General features: G+C 51.3%; 1 protein-coding gene across 6 annotated transcripts in view, besides 2 other annotated features; it reads left to right on the forward strand.

The window, feature by feature from the left end:
• The window catches only part of SLCO2B1 (solute carrier organic anion transporter family member 2B1), a 55,443-nt gene that overhangs the window by 29,384 nt on the left and 2,188 nt on the right, over positions 1–23,871 (forward strand). For all 6 annotated transcript variants that reach the window (NM_007256.5, NM_001145212.3, XM_017017157.2 and 3 more), the window contains 6 exons: positions 7,646–7,748; positions 12,728–13,085; positions 16,024–16,189; positions 19,734–19,897; positions 22,411–22,475; positions 22,817–22,937. In NM_007256.5, the coding sequence (NP_009187.1) occupies positions 7,646–7,748; positions 12,728–13,085; positions 16,024–16,189; positions 19,734–19,897; positions 22,411–22,475; positions 22,817–22,937 (977 nt within the window). The remainder of the gene's footprint in view (positions 1–7,645; positions 7,749–12,727; positions 13,086–16,023; positions 16,190–19,733; positions 19,898–22,410; positions 22,476–22,816; positions 22,938–23,871) is intronic.
• Positions 20,562–21,063: an enhancer, noted in NCBI's record as "H3K27ac hESC enhancer chr11:74912097-74912598 (GRCh37/hg19 assembly coordinates)". NCBI's record gives its function as "activates a minimal SCP1, AML or CMV promoter by ChIP-STARR-seq in naive H9 embryonic stem cells {active_cell/tissue: H9 hESC(naive)}" and the evidence as "EXISTENCE:reporter gene assay evidence [ECO:0000049][PMID:30033119]".
• Positions 22,470–23,336: an enhancer, noted in NCBI's record as "H3K27ac-H3K4me1 hESC enhancer chr11:74914005-74914871 (GRCh37/hg19 assembly coordinates)". NCBI's record gives its function as "activates a minimal SCP1, AML or CMV promoter by ChIP-STARR-seq in naive H9 embryonic stem cells {active_cell/tissue: H9 hESC(naive)}" and the evidence as "EXISTENCE:reporter gene assay evidence [ECO:0000049][PMID:30033119]".

Raw genomic sequence — 23,871 nt, forward strand, 5'->3', positions numbered from 1 at the left:
GCCTCCCCAGCACTTGTTATCTATCATATTTTTTATAATAGCCATTCTACTCTATTTTAATATATTATATGGTATCTATACACATTCAGGTGTGAGATGATATCCCACTGTGTTTGCATATGCTTTTCTATATCCTACTTGCACTATAGTCTATAAAAGGTTTGAGACAGCTCACACCACACAAAGGTACAGTACTACAACAGTAGGAATTAGGCTAACATTTATTACTTACTCTGTACCATGCAATGTTCTAAGACCTTTGTATGGATGATCTCATTTAGTCCCCATAACCCACCTGTGAAGTAGATATAGTTATTACCCCCATCTTATACCAGAGGGACTTGGGTAACAGAGATTAAGTAACCTGGTCACATAGCTAGTAAATGGTGAAACCAATCAATTAAGGCTAAGGAGCAGGAAAAATATAAATAAGAGCGAAAGGTTCTCAGAATGAGAGAGAAAAACATAAATGCATGGACCCATAAAGATTAATTCAGTTGATACCATTGAGCCATTTATTTGGTTCTGAGGTTTCTGGTAGCCCAAAGGGAAAAGAAGCATGGCCAGTGGCATGAATCTCATTAAAAGAAAGCCAGGGCCGGTTGCCGTGGCTCACACCTGTAATCCCAGCACTTTGGGAGGCTGAGGCAGGTGGATTACCTAAGGTTAGAAGCTCGAGACCTGCCTGGCCAACATGGAGAAACCCTGTCTCTACTAAAAATACGAAAAATTAGCCAGGCATGGTGGTGGGTGCCTATAATCCCAGCTACTTGGGAGGCTGAGGCAGGAGAATCACTTGAACCCGGGAGGTGGAGGTTGCAGTGAGCCGAGATTGCATCATTGCACCACTCCAGCCTGAGTGACAGAGGAAGACTCTGCCTCAAAAAAAAAAAAAAAAGAAAAAAGAAAGCTGGAAGTGTGTTTCATTCTTCATGGAAACTCAGCTCTTGCTGAAAAACACTCTCTTTCATGGGGTGGGAGGAAGTTAAGCAGATCTCTCATCCCTGTGGCTGCTTCCCTTCGTGATATGTGAAGGAACCCGAGGCTGGCAGAGGGTTCCATATCACCCCAGAGTCCACATTGGCTCTGTGGGTCAGGGACCCTAGCCCCTGGACAAAGCCTTCTTTTAATAGGAACTTAGTTCTCACCAAGGATAGCGCCTGGATCCCTGGGGGCCCAGCAGACAGGAGGGCCTTCCATGGGCTGAGCTACACACAGCACATGGTGTCCGGCAGGCTTGCAACAATCAGCAAAGAGCCCCCAGAGGGGAAGTTCCAGCAGCCCTCTCCATCCAGGGCTGCTGACCCAGGCAAACACAGCCCAGATGGGTCACACTGCAATCCCTGCACTGAGCAGAGGCACGTTTCCTGTTTCTGGAGCCCGTTATTACTCAGCTGTCCTCAAAACAGATGAGGGGGCAAGCGGCAGAAATCTGTGGAGAACACAGGGTCAGGAGCTAAGGACAGATAGGGCTCCCAATAGCCACAGAATATAGCCCAAATCTCAGCCTGGCCTTCCAAACCACCCGAGTCTGGCTGTGGCCCATCTTTTGGCCCCAGCCCCTACCCCAGCCAAGCACTGCTGTAATCAAGTTGGTGTCCCCACTGTGTCCTGCACAAGACCTCCACCACCGTGCCTCTGCTTCAAATCTGCTCTCCCTTTCTATCTACCCAAACCCCAAAGCTCACTTCTCCCTGGATGTCACCCCTGACCACCCAGCCCCTGAAGGTCTGTCACTCCCCTCCTGTTCCAAACCCCATGCTCTTTCACAGCAGGAGACAGGACTGACACAGGGAGACTAGAGAACCTGGGTTTGGTTTGAGAGCCTGCTCTGCCAATAACTGTCTGGGTGACACTCCCCCTTTTGGGGCCTCAGTTTCCTCTTCTGTAAAATAGGTGCAATAATAATCCCTGCACCAGACAGACCATTGTGGGAATTAAATGACATGATGGATATGAAAGTGCAGTGTAGCTGGGCGCAGTGGCTCACGCCTGTAATCTCAGCACTTTGGGATGCCAAGGCGGCCAGATCACCCGAGGTCAGGAGTTCGAGACCAGCCTGCCCAACATGGTGAAACCCAGTCTCTACTAAAAATACAAAATTAGCCAGGTGTGGTGGCGTGTGCTTGTAGTCTCAGCTACTCGGGAGGCTGAGACAGGAGAATTGCTTGAACCTGGGAGGCAGAGGTTGCAGTGAGCTGAGATTGCACCACTGCACTCCAATCTGGGGGACACAGCAAGGCTCTGTTAAAAAAAAAAAAAGTGCAATGTAGACCAAATAGGAATGTACACGTGGGAGCAGACGACATTGTGGTTGTTTCTACTCTTTATGAGAACAAGGAACCCAAGCAAGGAACTCAGAAGATTCTGCTTACCCTGCCCCTTCCTGATAAAAAATGTTGGGAAGTGATCAGTCTGTCCCCAGGCTGTTCTCCTGCTTCCTGGGGCAGCCCTCACTCCAGCACTCTCTCTCAGCTGTCCAGGACCCTCCCACCACTGTGGCATCCCTCCCAGATCACTCTCCCAGAGCTCAGACGGGACTCAGAAAGGAGCAAGGATTCACTGATTCTCTTTAAGGCAGCATGTCCAAAAGAAATGTTATATGAACCACATATGTAATTCTAATTTTTTTTGTCCACATGCAAAAGTAAAAGAAATTAATTTTAATAATACATTTTATTTAAACCACTATATCTAAAATATTCTTATTTTAACATATAATAGTAAAAAATTAATGATGAAACATTTTCCTTTTTTCATACTAAGTCTTCAAAATGCGATGTGTATTTTATGCCTACAGCACATCTCAATTTGGACTGGCCATATTTCAATTGCTTAGAGCCATGCGTGACAGGTGGCTGCTGTATGAGACAGTGCAGCTCTAAGGTATAAATGAATAATCCACGCAGGCTGCCTTACCCAAAAAAATAAGACATGGTAGGATTTCAGTTTCCTTCAAATCACACCACAAAGATGCCTCCTAATTCTCCAGTCCTGCATCAGGGCTGTCTGACTCAGGGGGCTAGTGGATAAAGTATGAGTTGTTTTTTTTGAGTCAAGGTGTTGCTCTGTCACCTAGGCTAGAGTGCAGAGGTGCCATCATAGCTTACTGTAGCCTTGGACTCCTGGGCTCAAGTGATGCTTCCACCTGAGCCTCTTGAGTAGCTGGGACCACAGGTGCATGTCACCATGCCCAGCTAATTTTAAAATTTTTGTCGAAATGGGGTCTTACTATGTTGCCCAGGCCAGTCTCAAACTCCTGGCCTCAAGCAATCCTGCTGCCTTGGCCTCCCAAAATGCTGGAATTACAGGTGAGAGCTCAGTCAAGGCATGAGTTTTCTACTCAGGCAAGCTTGAGCTCGGATCTGAGTCCTGCCACTCTCTAGTTATGTGATGCTGAACAAGTTGCCTACCTTCAGAACTTGTTTGCTCATGTGTGAAGGAGTGTAGGACTTGCCGGCAGGTCCCAGTGAAGATGGAGCAGGCTCATGTGTGCGTAGCTACCAGCCCATATACCAGTGGCCTGGCATGTCCTGGAAAGGTAGTTCCGCTAGAGCTGGTGTGCTCTGAGGACCCTTTGCCTGTCTCGGAACCATCAGCAGTTCAAGAACTCCCTGGCGGCATGATGGCATCTCCTCTTGCTTTCATTTTTTCCCCCAAAAGCCTGGCATTGGCTATACCCACTTCTGGTTAGAACCATCTCTTGCGCTCCTCTTGCAATTGATATTTACTAGATAACCACTATTTCGCCCCAGGCTCTTGCTAGGCACAAGAGTTTGAACAGAAAACAAGATAAACATGAATCCTGCTCTTGCAGAGCTCAGGGTCCAGCAGGGGAGAAAGATGTCAAATAAGGTTTGCCTCAGACCTAAAGCATGTATAAAATAGACATTCTTTATTTTACTTGAAAATCAACTTAATTTCTACTCTGAATGCCTATCCTGCCAGATCATCAAGAAATTCAATCTCAGCCTTTCTCAGAGCTCTCTGACCAAGGTGAAGCAAAGGTCCTGTGTCTTACACAGTGCTCAAGCACCAGGGAGGCCCCCCCAGCAGACATCAGCATCAGCCCACTGTGGTCACTATGGTGATGCCCACTTGCCATCCTGGCCCATATGGTTCCCTTACCATGCTTGGAGCAGAGTCTTGGTGAGGCTGGGAACCTAGGAGCCCAGCCTCCCTAAGTCAGCCTGCATCCTGCCACTTGGAGGTGAATTGCTTCCGTGGGCCCTATCTCAGAGGGTACGTGGCTCCTCGCTGCTCATGGAACCCACAGACTGCTCTGTCTCTGCCCCATCCTCTTTTCCAGGCTTTATTTTAGGGAAGATGGTATTCTTTTCCTCTCATCCTCAGAGCCTCCCCCCTCTACTCACACCCACCACAACACCCAGCAGAATCTTCTCAAGGGACTCAAGCTCTGGAGACAAAAGACAGGAAGGGAAATCTTGCAATCCATTACTGTTTTCTGCCATGCCACAAACATCCCCTGAGGACAGGAAACCTAGAGCCTGCTCCCTGCTGGAATGAAAGAAGAAAGAAGAAAGGGAAAAAAAGTCCAAGGGAACACACACATGAATTAATATTTGAATGAATCGTCCTGCTGGGACAGGCCAGCCTTGAGCCAGCCAGCATCAGGAAGCCAGGTTGGGGAGGCATGGAACAAGGGACCCCCCAAGGTGGTGGCTGACATGAAGGTTCTGAAATGTGGGGAAATCCAGCATTTGCCTCATGATGATCTCAGAAAAAATGAGATGGGAGAAGAAAGAGAAAGTGTCAGACCCAACCAGAGTGTGAGTCCTGTAGGAACCTCACAGGCAACATGGGAAGAGGAGGCAGAACCAGGAAGCCCAAATGAGTGCTCTCCAGCCCAGCAGGTCCTTCCCTATGGCCCATGGCATCCTGGCCCTGGACGTGGGGAAGCCTTGCCTGCGCACCACTCCTAGTTACAGGGAGCTCGCTTCCTCCCAGGGTAGCCTCTTCCAAACTGCTGTCCCCATTGGGTATAAGTCTCTTTTTTTTTTTTTTTTTTTTTGTGAAACAGGGTCTCACTCTATCGCCCAGGCTGGAGTGCAGTGGCATGATCTCAGCTCACTGCAACTGTTACCAGAAAGGAGTCTGAATCCAGACCCCAAGAGAGGGTTCTCGGCTCTCACACAAGAAAGAATTCGGAGCAAGTCCATAGAGTAAAGTGAGAGCAAGTTTATTAAGAAAGTAAAGGAATAAAGAATGGCTACTCCATAGGCAGAGCAGGGTGTTCCCGAAAGTAAGAGGAGGAACGCGTCCACCCTAGCTACAATACATGTTTATATATAGGATGAAAAAAGATCATGGGGAGATGTGCTCTGCTACAAGGGTTTGTGATCAACGATTTTCTTAATCACTATATTTTGCAAGAATCGATATTATTATATTTAAAGCAAAATTAGAAATGCTTCTGTTCTCCAGACATGGGGCTATCAGGACACTCCTAAGTCTGGGTCTCTTTAGTAAACATGATCAATCTGTTCCCTTAACCATAAACATCTAGAGGCTAAGAATGCCTGACTTTCTGGGAATGCAGCCCAGCAAGTCCCAGCCTCATTTTCCTACCCCTCAGTCAAGATGGAGTTGTTCTGATTCTAACGCCTCTGACAAAATCTCCATCTCCCTGGCTCAGATGATCCTCCCTCCTCAGCCTCTTGTGTAGCTGGGACTACTGGTGTGTGCCACCACACCTGGCTGATTTTTTTTTTTTTTGAGAGGGAGTCTCGCTCTGTTGCCCAGGCTGGAGTGCAGTGGTACGATCTCAGCTCACTACAACCTCCGCCTCCCAGGTTCAAGCGATCTTCCTGCCTCAGCCCCCCTAGTAGCTGGGATTACAGGCATGAGCCACCATGCCTGGCTAATTTTTGTATTTTTAGTAGAGACAGGGTTTAGTCATGTTGGCCAGGCTGGTCTTGAACTCCTGACCTCAGGTGATCCACTGGCCTCACCCTCCCAAAGTGCTGAGATTACAGGTGTGAGCCGCCACGCCCGACTGATTTTTTTTTTATTTTTATTTTTAGTAGAGACAAGGTTTCGCCATGTTGCCCAGGCTGGTCTTGAACTCCTGGGCTCAAGCGATCCTCCCACCTCAGGCTCCCAAAGTGCTGGAACTACAGCCGCGAACCATCACACCCGGCCTAGGCATAAGTCTTCTTCCAGCTAATTTTTTGCTTTTAATTCTGACCTCAGCCTACATAGCAAAATAACTAAATTACACTCCACTTGCCCACTTGTATTCAGATGACCCTGTGCCCATAGCAACTTCTCCAAGATTTTGTTTCCTCATCTAAAAAGTGTGCACGGTAATAGTACCTGCCTCACACAGTTTTGTGTTAGAGAAATGTAGGTAGAGTACTCTGGGGCCTTGGCCTTGGTTGCCCCCTTCCTTCAGGGTGTACCAGTGAAGTGCTCAGGCTCTGGAGCCAAGCCGTCTGGATTCAAATCCTAGCTGGACCACTTATTATCTGTGTGAAATAAGTTGAAATAAGTTATTTTCTCTCTGTGTCTCAGTTTTATCACCTGACAAAAAGGGATTATTATGGTATCTACTTCATTATTTAAAAAATGATTTTTGACTCTTATTTCCTTCTCCAAGTTGTTGGTAGGGACGTATATACTTCAGGAGGTTGTGAGGTTTCGGTAAGTTATGCATTAGTCATTAGAACAGTGCCCAGCATACAGTAAGTGCTTAGTAGGCATTAACCGTTATTTATCATTATTTCCTTTCTTATTTCTGACAGTCAGAAGATGGTGATTGTGCCCCCTCCCTCCACACACATGATATTCTCTTCCCCTCTTTTTCAAGAGTTGCACATGGGCCGTTCCCACCCAGGTGGAGGGACATACTCCAGGGTGTCCATGGGAATCTTCACAGCTTGGACCCAAAGCTGAGCCCATCCTCTGGGTGCGGCCTGATTCATCCAAGAGGAGCAGTGACAGTGGGAGTGAAGATTGACTGGATTGGTGTGTTGGTGTTTTGGGTAACATTGGTGGTGATGATGGCAGTGGCGATGGAGATGAGGCTGGTGATACTGATCTTGGTGAAGACAGTGGTAGTGATGATGATGTTAGAGACAGTGATAATGATATTGATGATTCTGATCATCATCATGGTGGTAGTGATTCTGAAGGTTCAGGTGACAGTGATAATGATGATTGTGCTGGTGGTGGTGATCATGACAGAGACAACAATAACAATCATCACATCGTGATGGTAATGTCGTGACTAAATTTGTCATTTAGTCACAACGATATGGGTGATGTGAATGAGGGTGATATTTAAGCTGAAAGGAATAGAAATGATGATGATGATTATGGTGGTGATTTTCCTAAAAATGTTGGTGATTATTATGATGTTAATAGTGGTCATGACAACTAACCCATGTGGATACTGGTGATGACAAAGTTTAACCACAAGAATTTTATTCATCCTTTCAAAACCACTTGTTGGGTACCTATAGGGCCAAGAACAAATGGAACACTGCAGGCCTCAATTGCTCCTGAAGAGATGACAGGGCTCTCACCCTCTCCTCTCCAAGACCTCTCCTCCCCAGCCCACAGCCAACTCTGAGTGGGGTTGCTGGCATCCAGCGGACTGTCCTTGGTTTTGTGTCTCCTTCAGGGCAAGGACTCTCCCTCTAAGCAGAGCCCTGGGGAGTCCACGAAGAAGCAGGATGGCCTAGTCCAGATTGCACCAAACCTGACTGTGATCCAGTTCATTAAAGGTAAGTCAGCTCAGACCAGGTTATGGGGAGCCAGGGCCAGAGGGGTCTTCGAGATTGTCAGGATCCAGTCCTTCCTGCTTTTCTTGATTCATCTTCTCTACCTGCAGACCCCTCATGAGCACCATCTACTCCTTGTGAGTCTTTGCACATGCAATCCTCTCTGCCTGGACCATCATTTTTTATTGCTTTCAAAACCTTCCCTATGGGCCAGGCATTGCGGCTCATGCCTGTAATCCCAGCACTTTGGGAGGCCGAGGTGGACGGATCACTTGAGGTCAGAAGTTTGAGACCAGACTGGCCAACATGGTTAAACCCTGTCTCTACTAAAAATACAAAAATTAGCTGGGCATGATGGTGGGCACCTGTAGTCTCAGCTGCTTGGGAGGCTGAGGCAGAAGAATCACTTGAACCTGGGAGGCAGAGGTTGCAGTGAGCCAAGATCACACCACTGCACTCCAGCAGACAGAGACTTCATTTCAAAAACAACAACAAAAAACCTTCCCTATCCGTCTAGGTCCAGCTAAAAACCCACTACTTTCCCCACATGTCCAGCTCTTCCAGCCAGCAAAGCCACTTCCTTCCCTCTTTGGTTCTCAGAACCCTCAGGGCTTCTAGATCAGTTCAGATCTGAGCCTGTGTTCCTGAAGGTCAGGCCTGTGCTGGCTCATCTATGACCCTTCCTCTCCTCCCACCCACTGCTGAGCCTGCAAATGGGAGGCCATCGGGAAATTGTCAAATTTCCAGACAGTGGCATGGGCGAAGAGAGCTCTGGGCTAATATCCAGAACCTGGGCTTTTGTCCCTGATCCCTGCTCCTTTCTGGGCCTCCGTTTCCCCATCTATATAGCCAGGAGTAGACTCAATGATCTAACGTCTTGAGGCTATGATCCTGAGACTACGAACTCAGTCTATCAGTAACCAGAGTACACATTATGACCAGGCCATTCTTTCTCAAGATTATGACCCCAGGAGCATTGATTGAGTGCCTGCCGTGTGCCCAGCTCTTACAGAGCACTGGATGGCAGGTCAGAAGACTTGGATTTGAGCCCTGCCCCTAACAGTGACCAGTGTATAATCTTAAAGAAGTTAGTTTCCTTTTCTAAATTGAGTTTCCTCATCTGGAAGATTGGGTCAATAATCCTTGCTCTGCCTGTCTCAAGGGCTATTACGAGAATCAAATGAGACGAAACATGGAAAGCCTCTTTATGCTATTAAAAAAAACTGTACTTATATATAAGGTACAATTATTTCAATTATTACTCTTGTTCCACCGTTATTCTGACCATGCCCTAGGATAGTAAATTGAGCTGCCTGTGGTTTAGGAGGGCATGTCCACAGGAGTTGCCTCATAGTCCTTACTGAGGATTTCTGCAACAGGAAGGAATTAGGCCTATTCTTGGGAAGAGCTTCCTAAGATTTGATGTTGGGGCAGGACATGGTGGCTCACACCTGTAATCCCAGCACTTTGGGGGACCAAGGCAGGAGGACCTCTTGAGCCCAGGAGTTTGAGACCAACCAGGACAACATAAGGAGACCCTGCCTCTAAAAAAATAAAAATAAAAAATAAAGAAAGAATTAGCCGGGCTTGGTGGTGCATGCCTGTGGTCCAAGCTACTGGGGAGGCTGAGGTGGGAGGATTGCTTGAACCTGGGAGTTTGAGGCTGCAATGAGCTGTGATCTGGCCGCTGCGCTCCAGCCTGGGTGACTGAGAGAAACCCTGTCTGGAAAAAAAAAAAAAAAAAGACTTGATGTTGGGATATCAGTAATCTAGCCCCCAGTTTTTTCAGCATTCCCAGGGAAAGAGAGGGCTTGGACTCCATGCATGGTGCTGGGCCTAGACGCAGCGGCCGGGACTCCCTAGCCTCAGGCCACCCCCAGATGCTATTAGGTCCCCGGCACTCTGCGCTGCTGAATTGCTTATTAATCACTGTTTGGGCTTCTGCCCGGAGGGAAGCTTCTGAAATTGGAACCTAGAGCAAGTGTTCTAGGCCAGATTGTCTCTGGTGGTTTCAGCTTCTACATGAGCCTGGAGGGAATCAGGGCAGGGGTGCCCTCAGGCCCTGTGGCTGGTGAGCCAGCCTGGCTTCTGCTGAGCTCCAGGGGCCAGTCTAACTCTAGGGCCTGGCCTTGACCACCTGGTGTCACAGGGAAGGCCGAGGGAGGAGGAACCATGGTCCTTCAGCTGGAGGTGCCCTATACTCTTGGGGAAAGATAATCCCTGAGCTAGGAAAGGCCCCTGTCAGATGGGGGAGACAGTCTCTGAGCTGGGGGAAGCCCCTGTCTAATGTGAGAGATACAATCTCTCTGATGGAGGTTACGTAGTCCCTGAATGGAGCGAGACCCTGCCTTGTCTGATGGAAGAGACCTGACCTCTGTGATGGAGAAGGCCCCTGTCTGATAAGGGAGACGTAGTCCTTGAACTAGAGGAGGTTCCTGGGGGAGACATTGCCCTTGAGTTAAGGGAAGCCCCTACCTAATTGGAAGAAGCATAGTCCCTAGACTGAGGGAGAACCTGTTCTATTTGACAGAGGATACCTGGCCTCTAGCTGGGTGAGGCTCCTGGCTGATGAGGAAGACAGAGTCACTGACTTGAGGGAGGCCCTGGCTTGTCTGATGGGGGAGACACTGTGCTGTGCTAAGGGAAGCCCTGTCTCATGGCAAAGGTCTGCCTCAGAGCTGGAGATGGGCCCTGGAATTCCCCTGCAGGTAGACCTATCTCAGTGAAAGGCATAGCCTCTGCCCTCCAGGAATTTTCCATCTATTCCGGTGCCATGCTGTGGATGCTGAGGAGAGATGGGGGATGGCTACAAAGCACACTGCAGTGATCAGTGCAGGAGAATGGACTGGAAGCAATCCATGAGATGGAGCCCTTTGGAGTCAGGCAGCCAGAGAGGCACAGGATGGGGGAGGGAGGATAGAAGGGAGGATGGACCTTGTACTAGGAGCCAGGAGACCCTAGGAAACTCCTGGCCTTAAACTGGCCTCTGGATGAACTTGGGCGAGCCCCTGTCCCTCTCTAGACTCTACCATGCAGTAGGGGCACCTGTACAACCTGGACCATGCCAGATTGAAATTCATGGCTCAATATAAGGCCTCAGATGCCCTGGCCAGAGCAGCTTATGGCAAGAAGGCTGAGCAGCTACCTGGGGTCAGAGCGAGCCTCATACCTCTTCACTCTAATGCTAGTTAAATGCATGGTGTGCAGCAAGGAACCAGGGACAGGAGGCAGGCCTGGCACAGAAAAGAGGGGGAATTCCACAGCCCCCACCCACCGTCCTGAACTGTTTGTTTTTATTTTCTGGTTCCCAAGGAAACAGATCCTAGCCTGGCCCAGGGGGCTAGGGAACCAGCTGGCTTGGCCCTGCTCTGAGGACAGACAGAAATCTTCCCATGACAGAGGCCCTGGTCCTGCTGCTGCAGGAACAGAAGGAGCCCCCACCTGGCCCAGAGAATCCCCATGGCCCTACCAGCCCAGCCGGGCAAGTGTTTTGCTCCTCTCCCTCCATACCTTATATTTGACTTCAGTCTTGCCTACTGCAGGCAGAAACACAGGTTAGTGGAGAGAGGATTTCATGTGTCTAACAGAAAATGTCCTTGACACTTTCACCTGGGCTGCCCCTACCAATGAGCATCACTTGGCTGCTGGAGCCCAGAGAGGAAAGGACTTACCCACCCTTTTGTGCCCTTTGGTTTAGCAGACTTGCAGTGGGGGCAACCTGTGAATGAGGCACCATTTTAGGAGCTAGCAGGAGACTGGGGAGGTAATTTTTTGCCAAAACAGTCACTTTTTTTCCTAACTCCAAGCATTTGCCCCTCCTGGGCCCCTACTCAATTCCTTTTCCTCCTCGCTTTACCTCCCCAGATCCCCCCCACCATTCTTTAGGCCCTAGCTCTGTCCCACCTCCAGGAAGTCTCCCAGCACCAAGCAGACTCAGATTTCACTTTCTCTGGAGGTCTTTGATTCTGCCCCAGACATATTGACATTTGATCACATATTAGTCCATATATCCATTCATTCCTTCCTTCATTCCATGAATTCAGGTGCCTCCTATATCCCAGGCTCTGGAGATTTAGTAATTAACACAACAAACAAAACCCCCTGATCTTTTAAAGAAGGCTTACGTTCTGGTAGGGTGACAATAAAACAGCTAGATGAGTGAGAGGTATAGTACGTTAGGTAGAGGGCTATGGAGAAATGCAAGCTAAGGATAGGGAGGTCAGGGCAGAGGATTGGGGCCTGTGTTTGGGATGCGAAGGAGGATGAAGGCCTGGGAGGCTTGGAAAAAGCTGTAGCAGGACAGGATGGAAAGAACTGGGTGGGGCGGGGGAGAGGAATGAATACGTAGAGTAGAAAAAATGAAATGACATGGGATGGGATGGACGAAATTGAATCAAATAGGATGGCATGAACCAGAACTATATGGAACTGAATAGAATTGAATGGAAGAAAAAAACACATCAAATAAGATATAGTCTAACTCAGTGGAACAAAATGAAACAGAATTTCAAAAATGAACTGGAACAAGGGCCAGGCATAGTGGCTCACGTCTGTAATCCTAGCACTTTGGGAGGCCAAGGAGGGTGGATTACTTGGGGCCTAGGGTTCGAGAGCAGCTTAGCCAACAAGGCAAAACCCATCTCTACTAAAAACACAAAAATTAGCCAGCATGGTGGTGCACACCTGTAGTTTCAGCTACTCGGGAGGCTGAGGCCGAGAATCACTTGAACCCAGGAGGCAGAGGTTGCAGTGAGCTGAGATTGCGCCACTGCACCCCAGCCTGGGCGACAGAGAGAGAAAAAAAAAGGGACTAGAGTAAATGGAATGGAGTCAAGTGGGATAAAATTGATTGCAATAGAATTAAGTGGAATGGGGCGGGTTAGAAGAAATGGAACTGCTTGAACTGAGCAGGGCAGGAGGGCAGTCTCTGCTGGACAGCTTGGCTGCCCTGCCTGCCCTGACCTCTGCACTCGCCCCCACAGTCTTCCCCAGGGTGCTGCTGCAGACCCTACGCCACCCCATCTTCCTGCTGGTGGTCCTGTCCCAGGTATGCTTGTCATCCATGGCTGCGGGCATGGCCACCTTCCTGCCCAAGTTCCTGGAGCGCCAGTTTTCCATCACAGCCTCCTACGCCAACCTGCTCATCGGCTGCCTCTCCTTCCCTTCGGTCATCGTGGGCATCGTGGTGGGTGGCGTCCTGGTCAAGCGGCTCCACCTGGGCCCTGTGGGATGCGGTGCCCTTTGCCTGCTGGGGATGCTGCTGTGCCTCTTCTTCAGCCTGCCGCTCTTCTTTATCGGCTGCTCCAGCCACCAGATTGCGGGCATCACACACCAGACCAGGTGAGTGTGTGCGTGGGCACGTAAAGGCAAGCCTGGGAGGACAGGACAGGGAGGACAGGGGCCCTGGGCAGAGGCCAGGATGGCAGGGCAACCCCTGCCTCAAATCTTGCCTCCCCAGTTCTGCTTAACAGCCCTTTAGAGATTCGAGTCAAGCAGTGGGGTGCTCCAGAAGGCTCCAGGGTAGGTGTCAGGCACCACTGGAAGGGGCATGGATGAGACTTCAGGGGCAGAAACTCTCAAGCCCAGGAGGGTGTGGAGGCTGAGATAGGGCAGAGCCACCCATGGGATGGCATGTCCAGGGTGACCAAGCCCTGTGGGCCCAACAGAGATGAGCCAGAGGCTACATCACAGGAGCCAGGACCCAGCTCAGCCAGAGGAATGGCCTGCCCAGGAGGAAGCATGCTCTCCATCCTGGGGACGAGAGGGGATGAGAGGGTGAGCAAGGGACTGGATGGCCCCTATCAGGGAGGCTGCAGAGGGGACTCAGGCACTGGGAAAAGATTGGACAGCAGACCTCTGATAATTTTGGGTTTTAGAGCTTGGGAGCTAAAATTCTGATATTCCACGACTCTAAAATTACAGAATTCTTTTTCCACATCTGTGAGGCAGCACCTGCCTCTGCCCTCCGGGAGGAAGTCTCTTGATTTCTATCTCTCCAATTCTCCCTCACACCTTTACCCTTGGGAGCCTTCTTGGAGAGGATGTTGGAAGTCACATTCCTGCCTCTTCTCCAGAATGATTTCATTTTTCCTGGAAACTGCTCCAGGCTTAGGTTGGCCCAACACTCGGCTAGAATTTCCCAACTTTCTCTGTACCCACCCCTTCCTTGGCATCTTCTGCCTCCACCTAGGTGCCAGCTTTCATCACCAGGGGTCCTCCTGCATGGCTGTCGGGGGCTCAGCTCAGGGCCAAGGAGCACCCAGCCCCTCCCCGTCTGTCCCAGGTCCCACCCTCGCTGATCTCTCCCCCATCTCCCCTCCCTCCTCCCCCTTTCATTCTCTGCCCCTCTTTTCCCACATAGGGAGGCAACTCTGCTCTCTAGCCTGGGGCCTCCTGTGTGCGGAGCCTTGTTCTAGGCACTGCAGCGGGGGTTTAGCCACCTCCTCAGGAAGTCCCTGGTCTGAGGAGGGAGCCAGGTCCTCAATCAAATGATTTTTAGAGTAAAAAGTAAATGGATATTTTATCACAATTTTTTAAATAGTGCAGAAAAAGTCAGCTCATCTCACACACCCCATCTCTCTTTTCTTCTCCCTTTCACACCTTAGCTTTGACATCTCATGTCACCTCTGTTCTCGTCTAAATTCTTGCGATTTATTCACTAAGCTCTGGGTTCTAATTCACTGAAGAGACCATTTGGGACCAACTGAGCTAGGCAAGAAGAACTTTCCATATTTCTGCACAACCGCAGGTACTAACAGCTGCAAGAACCGACGGTCTCCCTTCGCTCAGCGTCTTCCCACGTTACCTCTCACTGAACCCCCACAGGATCTCTGTAATGGGTCCTGTTATTAGCCCCATTTCACAGATGAATACAGCAAGGCTCAGAGAGGTGAAGTCACCCCACAGCTGGAACAGGGTAGAGCCTGGAGCCAGGACTCTCCCCACAGAAGCAATCAGCTCCAGGTGGTCAATGACAGCGAGGAGCGGAGGAAGGACTCCCTAGCTCTTATCTGCTCAGCTTTCCAGCTGCTAGCAGAGGGTTCTGGGAAGTGCTTCACCCTTGGCAGAGTCCCCTGGCACTGCCTCCTGATGGGCCCTCAGCTCAGACAGTGCCAGCCTTCCCACTCCCACCCCCACCCCGAGGGAGATGTGCCAAGATGTTGTCAGACACACACAAGCACTGTCTGGCAGAGGAGGAAGAGGAAATATTTTGTGGCTGATGATCTTCCTTCCCTCTCTGATAGAGTGCCCCCTCACCCCAGGGAGGGAGAGGAGCTCACTTTGCCCCATGCCCCACTTCCCCACTCCACACCCTGGCTAGAGACTGTCTCCAGCTCCTGCTCACCCTCTTCCCCATGGAACTGACATTTCACTAAGCTCCAGTCCCAGCCTCACTGATCATCCTGGGCCTCTGCCCCACACCCACCCCAAGCCCAAGACAGGGACATCCAGCTTCCGCCTTTGGCCTCCTCTGCAGCCTGGCCACTGGACCCCTGTGTGACCCTGAAAGGCGCAGCCTCTCTGGGCCTCTGTCTCCCTGGCAGGTTAGCTGTGCTCCCCGCTAGCGTGAAGCCAGGTGACACTGTGAGTCCCAGGGGACACCTCCCTGCCCTCCTCCCAGGGTGACCTCCCCCTCAGACTAAGCCTCCCTCTGACATCCTGCCCCTGCCCACCTTCACCTTGCCCTGGCCACCTGGAGCTGGGGCACCCCAGGGATTTGGGAACAGGCCCTTGGAGGGAGGCAAGTGGGACTAAAATGTGCCCTGGACACAGTGAACAGGGTGGTGGGAGTGAGACTGCAGGATGGCCATGACAGGCAGAGAAACTGAGGCCCAGAGAGGCAGGAACAGGCTGGAGATCCCACGGGTGGTCAGGTCTCCTGATCGGGTCCCACACTCATAGCTCTGATTTTCTGAGAAATGAAGCAATCATTGATTTTCGGAGAAAGGAAGCTGATTGAGGGAAAGATACTCCTCATCTGACACTAACTTCTGGGAGGAATTTATCTTGTATACCCTGTAGAAGGGTCACTGAGGTGCAGAGATGTTTGAAGAAGCTCAAAGGCTTGTAGGATTGAGGGGGCCTGTCTCCATACTTGCCCACCTTCATTGCAAGGAGCTCACTATCACGCCATCATCGGGCAGCCCTGATGATGAAAATCCTCTGTGTGGAGCTGAAATCTCTGGCCATTGCTCTCGGCTACAGGGCCGAGGATGCCCCAGCTAGTGGCCTAAGGGAGGGAAGCCAGGCCAACCCTACTGGTCTTCTCTCCCACCAGTGCCCACCCTGGGCTGGAGCTGTCTCCAAGCTGCATGGAGGCCTGCTCCTGCCCATTGGACGGCTTTAACCCTGTCTGCGACCCCAGCACTCGTGTGGAATACATCACACCCTGCCACGCAGGCTGCTCAAGCTGGGTGGTCCAGGATGCTCTGGACAACAGCCAGGTGAGTCAGGCCTCTCGTGGCAACCTCTGCCCCTCAGGACTCTGCCTGCCCTGTCTCTGTGGGCCTGTCATACTCTCCACTTCTGCATGCTCTCACTCTGTAGCTCTCGTCTCTCTGTCTCTCTCTGTTGGCAGATGTAGAACATTATTCTCACAATAAGCTTTCACTGGCCAGGAGCAGTGGCTTATGCCTGTAATCCCAACACTTTGGGAGGCCGAGGCAGGCAAATGACTTGAGGTCAGGAGTTCCAGACTGGTGAAACCCATCTCTACTAAAAATACAAAAAATTAGCCAGGCGTGGTGGTGTGCACCTGTAATCCCAGCTACTCAGGAGGCTGAGGCAGGAGAATCACTTGAATCCGGGAGGCGGAGGTTGCAGTAAGCTGAGATCATGCCATTACACTCCAGTCTGGGCAACAAGAGTGAAACTCCATCTCAAAAAATAAAAATAAAGCTTTCATTGCCAGCCTGGGCCCAGGGCACAGAGGTGAATCATTCTGGCTTCCAGATCTCTGTGCAGGGGAGATGCAAAAGGAAAGAACTCACAGGAATTCCAGAGGTGCTGATAGGTAAAACAACTGGTCCCTACAAGCACATACAAAGATGAAAAGAGACACATCCCACCTGGGTGGGGTTGGGTCCCAGAAGCCTTCATGGGAAGTGGCATTTGTGCCAGACATTCAAGAATGAATGGGTAAACTATTCATTTACTTGGGAGGGAAGGGCTTTCCAGGCAGGGGGAAATGCGCTCAGCAGAGATTTGAAGGAACACACATGCGCAAGCATGCACACACACTGTTTCTGTTGGAGCAGAAGCACAAGGGTTCATGAAGGGAAGGCAGGGCCCAGAAAAAGAGGGGCCTTGAATGCCAGGCCAAGAGTGGGGACTTTCTGGAGAGCAGTGGGAAGCCATGGATGGGTTTTCAGCCAAGGAGTAACAAGTTCAGATCTGTGTTTGATCACGCTTGAGGCCATAGTGTGGGGGCAGGTGAGCAGAGTACAGGATAGGACACAGAAGGCTAGCGAGCATTCAGTCAGTCAGTCAGTCAACAAACTTCACTGATCTCTTCCTCTGTGCCAGGCCCTGTTCTGGGAGCTGAGGACTCAGAGCCAAGGGGCCCAGTGGGGAAATGAAGGCAATGTAATCAGCAGCAGTGCATTCTGAATCTTAGGAGGGCTAAGACCAGCCGGTTCCTCCTCCCCTTTTTCCTCAGTTCCCCAAAATGACAAAGGGGGACAATGTCTGCCTTCTCAGGCCCCCAGGCTGTAGTGAAGCTTGGGGGATTTGTGGGGGCAGCAGCATCAGGCTGGTGGTTATGACAACATCTCCCTCTCTCCAGAGTCCTCCCACCTCCCACCCTCATGCTGGGCATCAGCATCTAAACCTGAGGCTCCTCCAGGGAGAGACCTGGGCTGCACTGGCTGGTGCAGAAGAACCTGTTGATGGTGCATAGTCCTTCAGAAGCCAGCCAGGCACCACCTGGGCCTGAGAGCCCTTCCAGAGACCCCCAGGCCTTGGCAGGTGGAGCAGTGAACTCCTGTGGATATGGGAACCGATTCAAATCCTTCTTAGGCCTCTAACTGACTCTGTTACCTTAGGCAAATTATTTAACTAGTGCCTCAGTTTCTTGGTCTGTAAAATAGGGGAGATATTATTAAGTGCCTACTACAGAGCAGGAATGTGCTGAATAAATGCTTTACCTGGATGAATTCATTAACTAGTAAGCAAAGCGCCACATAACGTTATCCATGAAAGCACATAGCACAGTGCCTAGGCAATTTTAAATACTCAGTAATACACATTTCTATTACGCCCATTGTACAGATGAGAAATGGAGGCCCAGGAAAGGACCAGACATTGCCCAGAGTCTCAATACCAGGGCTGGGACTAGGCACCAAGGCCCTGGCCTCCCAGCCAGCCCCCTCTTTGGAGCATCACGGAGGCTTGGATTTAGGTGCAGTATTTGGAGGAGGGTGCAGCTGAGACCGGGCCAGCACTCAGGGACTGTTGTCACACTGGCCTGGAATCGTGTCTTGACATGTCTGCCTCCTTGGATTGTGAACATCTTGGCTCAGGGATGGGTGGCTCAGTGCCCAGCACAGCTGCTCAGTAACAGCTTATGAGTGCATGAGTGAATGAGGTAAGGTGGGGCAGGTGGGCGCCTGAACAGGTGTGGAGCTGAATGCTCTGGGGGAATGAGACTCTGAGGCAGCAGAAAGATTGAAGTCATTCATAAGAAAAACTTCCTGCCATGGAATTAGATGAATGTGAAGGGTCAGGAAAAACCCAAGTGAAGGGTGAGGAAAAACCCAAGTGAAGCCTCCAGCCTTTGCGTTCATCCTGGCAACCTCTGCTTCTGAGAAAAGGAGCAGGGGCAGGATGCCTCTCTCCCAGGAACCTTGCTTAGCATTTCCCTTTCTTGTCCCTCCATTGTATCTCCAGCCTGTAGTTGGAGGTTCAGGGGCCGCTTTTCCTGCAGTGTAAGATGATATGCACTTAGGGGTCACACAGCTTGTGTGAAGGGTCTTCAGACCCTTGTGTGAAGGATCAGCACAGCTTCATCATGTGCATTGGTTCTGCCGGCCAGTGGAGAGTGCCTGGTCACCCAACCCTAAGTGCTCACGTGCTCACTCTCTCTTGCCTTTGTCTGATTCCACCTGCTAAGTAACTTCAAATCTAAACCCATTTATCCATCCACCCCCAAGCCCACTCTATGATGGGCTCCTTGGCCTGCCTCCCCGATCTGGTCCCTCCTCCATGCAGCTCCCAGAACACCCTTTGTACCACCCAGTCTCATCTACCCCTTGCTTAAAATTTTCCCAAGGCCCCCAGCATCCACCTCAGGGATTCCCAACCCTTTTCACACTGGGAAGTGTCTGCAGCTGCCAGGGCTGGAGGTGAGAGGCCCAGAGGGCTCCAGCTGTCCAGGCCAGCCAGCCACTTCAAGGGTTGATGGGACTAATCCCTGCACACCTGTCTCCCATCTGAGGCCCTGTGTGGCTGGGGCACATGAGTCTAGAAGCTCTGGTCTATGGGAAAGCAAAGAGAAGCCCAGGCCTCTTGGCTTGGGCTGGCTTCTATCGGGTGCCTGTGAGCCCTGGCAGTCCAGATCACTTCGCAGAGTCCTTGGCTGGAGGTTTTCCTCGCTACCTAGGGAGTGAGTGCAGGCTGGGATCAAACACTCCAGGGGGCAAGCCCGGGGACATGGCCAGCCTGGGGATGTTTTCTTACAGTTGGTGTGTAGAATGTGGGGGAATGATGCTCTCCTGGCTCCCTCCCTCTTCTTCTCTACTTTCTCTCTGCTTCCCTCTCCCTGCCCACCACCTCAGCCCAGGCTCAACTTGCACATAGACAGCCCTTGAGGTGCCTGCTCCTCAAGCCGTCTTTGCTCAGCCAACGGGTCACGATCTCGGACTCCCAGCCAGCTCTACCCCAACTGGCTGTGGAACTTGGGCCTCTCACAAGCCTTCCCCGCTGCAAGCCCTTGGCCAGCTGCCTGCCCTTGGAGGCTCTTGAAGTCTCTTCCTCCTCTTCCCACTCCAGGTTTTCTACACCAACTGCAGCTGCGTGGTGGAGGGCAACCCCGTGCTGGCAGGATCCTGCGACTCAACGTGCAGCCATCTGGTGGTGCCCTTCCTGCTCCTGGTCAGCCTGGGCTCGGCCCTGGCCTGTCTCACCCACACACCCTCCTTCATGCTCATCCTAAGGTGAAGGTGGGGGTGGGGCAGGGGCAGGTGGATACCAGGAGGTCCTTAACCACAGGCAGAACAAGGAATTCCAAGGACGGAGTTCAAGAAAGGAGGCCACTTGGGTGTCCTGGCCCCCACAATATGGCCTTAACTGTGTTCATCCCATGGCAACCTACTGAGGCAAGGTTTTCTCCCCATCTTGCAGATAAGAAAATTGAGGCTCAGAGAAGTTCAGGAGCTGGCCCCCATCACATAGCAAGTGTTGGGTGGAATAGTACTGGTTCCCTGGCCCACAGCCCAGGCTCCTACTTGCCCAGGGGAGAGGAGGACATACCTAGGGCCCTGTCCTGGCCTCTGGAGGTGAGGGCATAATACCTGCAATGGATGAGCTGCAGGAGGTGCATCTAGGAAACCAAACTGTGTCAGTCTGGTGCATGACTCTGAATGCTGCTTCAAGGCTACATACAAGTGCTTATTAGGTGCCCGCTGTGGACCCAACCCATGCTGAGCACTGCCTTTTGGGCCAAGATCTTTGTGGCCCTCGTCCTAAGAATGCCTGCTGGCCCTGACAAATTGTCACCTGAGTTCAAAGTCAGGGTCTCCTGGGGTGAGGGCTGGGATAAGAGGACTGAGTGAGAAAAAAATAGTTTTTCCTTTTTTTTTTTTTTTTTTTTTGAGATGCAGTTTTGCTCTGTCTCCCAGGCTGGAGTGCAATGGCGCAATCTCGGCTCACTGCAACCTCCTCCTCCTGGGTTCACGCCATTCTCCTGCCTCAGCCTCCCTAGTAGCTGGGATTACAGGCACCCGCCACCACACCCAACTAATTGTATTTTTAGCAGAGACGGGGTTTCACCATGTTGGCCAGGACGGTCTCGAACTCCTGACCTCAGTGATCCACCTGCCTTGGCCTCCCAAAGTGCTGGGATTACAGGCATGAGCCACCACACTCGGCTGAGAAAAACAGTTTTTCTATTCTCTCACTCAACAATCAACACAGAAGACTTCTGCAACCAGAAGTGTGGGGGTATTTTCCCACACACCAGGCACTCAATTAATTCTGCAGTGGACCCTAGCCAGTGTCCCCCAATTCTATTCTGACACAATCTACCTGGAGACAGCATCAGATCCCACAGGCTGAGTGCTCAGTCCCACAAGACTTTCCCTCCACTTCCCATGCCAACCACAAGCCTCAGGCTGTTTTACCAATGATTCTGACTGACCAGCCGTATGCTGGGGTTTCCACAGCCCCATCTTTGAGTTTGCTTTATTTGCTAGAGTGGCTCACAGAGCTCAGGAAAACATCTACTTAATGTTTATCGGTTTATTATAAAAGATATTACAAAGGATACAGATGAAGTGATGCATACGGTGAGGTATGGGGGAGGAGCTTTCATGCCCTCCCTGGCTGCATCCTGCAGGGACCTCCATGTGTTCAGCTATCCGGAAGCTCGCCAAAGCTTCATTATGTAGGCATGATTGATTAAATCACTGGATATTGGCAGTCACCTCAACCTTCAGCCCCTCTCCCCTTGCTGGAGGTTGGGGCTGAAAGTCCTAACCCTCTAATCCTGCCTTGGTCCCTCTGGTGACCAAGCCCCAGCCTGAAGCTACTAGGGGCTGCTCACCATCAATCAACTCATTAGCATACAAAAAGACACTTTTCACTTTGAACATTCCAAGAATTTTAGGAGTGTATGCCGGGAAGACCAAATACACATCTCACAATATCACAGGGACCTCAGAGCAAGATAATTTCCATTTTCCTTCTCCTGGGATTATTTTATTCACTATCTACTTTCTAGGAAATTAGAAGGGAAATGGAGCCTCTTGCAAATACCAGAAGACATGTAGATCTAGAACACAAGCTGGCCTGGGAGAGAAAATAGAGGAATCAGATGCCCAACAGGCAGCCTGACTAAAAGGAGTTGAGAACACAGCCTCAGGGCTGCGTGGATACAGGCCCTGACCGCTGTCAGCCATGAGATCTTGGCCAAGTTATTGAATCTGTCTAAGTGTCAGTCTCCTTATCTGTAAAATGGGGCTAATGTACACCTCGCTCATAGGAGTGATGTGGGGTTGCAGGGCAGAGTTACTGAGCCCGTAGTAAGCGCTCCATAAATGCCAGCCACTGGTGTTGTCTGGCAGGAGCTGGCGTTACAGTGGTTGGGGATGCTGGGGAAGTGTCTGACTGTCCCAGCTCCAGGTCTTGCCAACTGTAGGAGTAAGGGGAGAATTTGATGGGACCAGTGGGTGGAGGAAGAGGAGTGATGTCTGTGACCAGAAACATACAGAGGTCAGCACAGGACCCTGATGGTCAGTGGGTGTGTTGTCTTGTATATGGGACCAGGCTCTGCAGGTTGAAAAAGGATGGGGTACGTCCCTGAGCCCCCAGCCTAGATCATCAGATGGGAGAGAGGCTGGCTCTGGGTGGTGGGAGAGAAGGGCATAATAAGAACCCTTCAACGTTGATGCATGGCCCTTGGGGGCTGGAACCCCTCCAACCTCATGTTGCCCATGTCTCTGCTTGTTAGAGGAGTGAAGAAAGAAGACAAGACTTTGGCTGTGGGCATCCAGTTCATGTTCCTGAGGATTTTGGGTAAAGATCTTGCTTGGGACCATTGGTGGTGGTGATGGGGTCCAGATGCCCACTGTGTGCCAGGCCTGGGGCACAGGCATGAGCGGAATTCAATCCCTGATCTTAGGGCTCACAAGCTCATGGGGTGACAGACCTGGCCCAGCTCTCCTAGAGCGGGGTATAGAGGCAGAGTCTAGACAGCCCGTCAGGAAGCCACCTCGGATGCAGGGGTGGGGCGGGCTTGAGGGCCAGACAGCCAAGAGGCCCCAGTAACCCAGAGCCCCTGAGGGGTTGTACATGCCAGGGAGGGGGCAGGGTAGGACGGTGGGCCTTCATTGTCCCCTGAGCACCACCTCCCTCAGCCTGGATGCCCAGCCCCGTGATCCACGGCAGCGCCATCGACACCACCTGTGTGCACTGGGCCCTGAGCTGTGGGCGTCGAGCTGTCTGTCGCTACTACAATAATGACCTGCTCCGAAACCGGTGAGACCTGGTTTGATGGCTTGTGGGAAGGGTGCTGGAAATACTCTCAGAGTCCCAGGCAGGATACCAGCAGGGAGGGGAGGTTTCATTTAAGTCTACCTGCTAGGTGACAGGTGTCATTATATATTCAGTGCTGAGCTCACCAGTCCTTCAAGCTAAACACTGCCCCCCTCCTTTTATAGATGAGGAAAGTGACAGTTAAAGCAAGTAGCCCAAGGTCACACAGCTAATAACTTGCAGAGCTGGGCCTTGACCACAGAGTCTATGCAGGAACTTGGGGAGAAACAGAGGAGCAGCCATGCTGCGAGAGGGACTTGGGGTGAAGGGCTGGGGAGAAAGCCCTGTCTAGGACACAGGAGGCCTGGGTTTCAGGCCCAGCTCTGTCTCCCTCATCATGGGACTTATCTTGTCTGGGGCTCAGTCTTCCCATCTGTACAAAGGGGAACTCAAAGGAACCTGAAGGCACAGAGGCGGCTGGCCTGGGATGGATGTGGAGAGGACTTGCTAGCAGGGCTGGGGACAGGGAGCTGGTCACTTTCAGCTCTGAGGAGGTGAGGAGGGCACAGTTTCTGTGGGCTGGGACTGTCCACAGGGGGCTTCCTAGAAAAGGAAAAGTCAAACAAGGGCTTTGATAGTTAAACAGGGGAGAGGGAATCCGTTTGTTCTTGTGGCAGGTGGCGCAATATAAAATTGCACTTGTCAGGCCCCCTGAGCCCTTGGGCTCGGAGAGAGGCAGGGCCAGGCCAGGCCACAGAGCAGAGTCCAGGACAGGGCGATGAAGATGGCCAGGCCTCTGCTCCCACCCAGGGCTCCTCTGCAGAGCCTCTCCCCCTCCTCCAGGGAAGAGCCACAGCAGAGGTCAATGTCTCCCTGAGGCCTCAGTATCTCTGATTTCACAATGAGTGATGACTGCTGACGTCCATGCCCTGGCCTG

Source organism: Homo sapiens, chromosome 11, assembly GCF_000001405.40.
Source record: "Homo sapiens chromosome 11, GRCh38.p14 Primary Assembly".
NCBI classification, from domain to species: domain Eukaryota; kingdom Metazoa; phylum Chordata; class Mammalia; order Primates; family Hominidae; genus Homo; species Homo sapiens.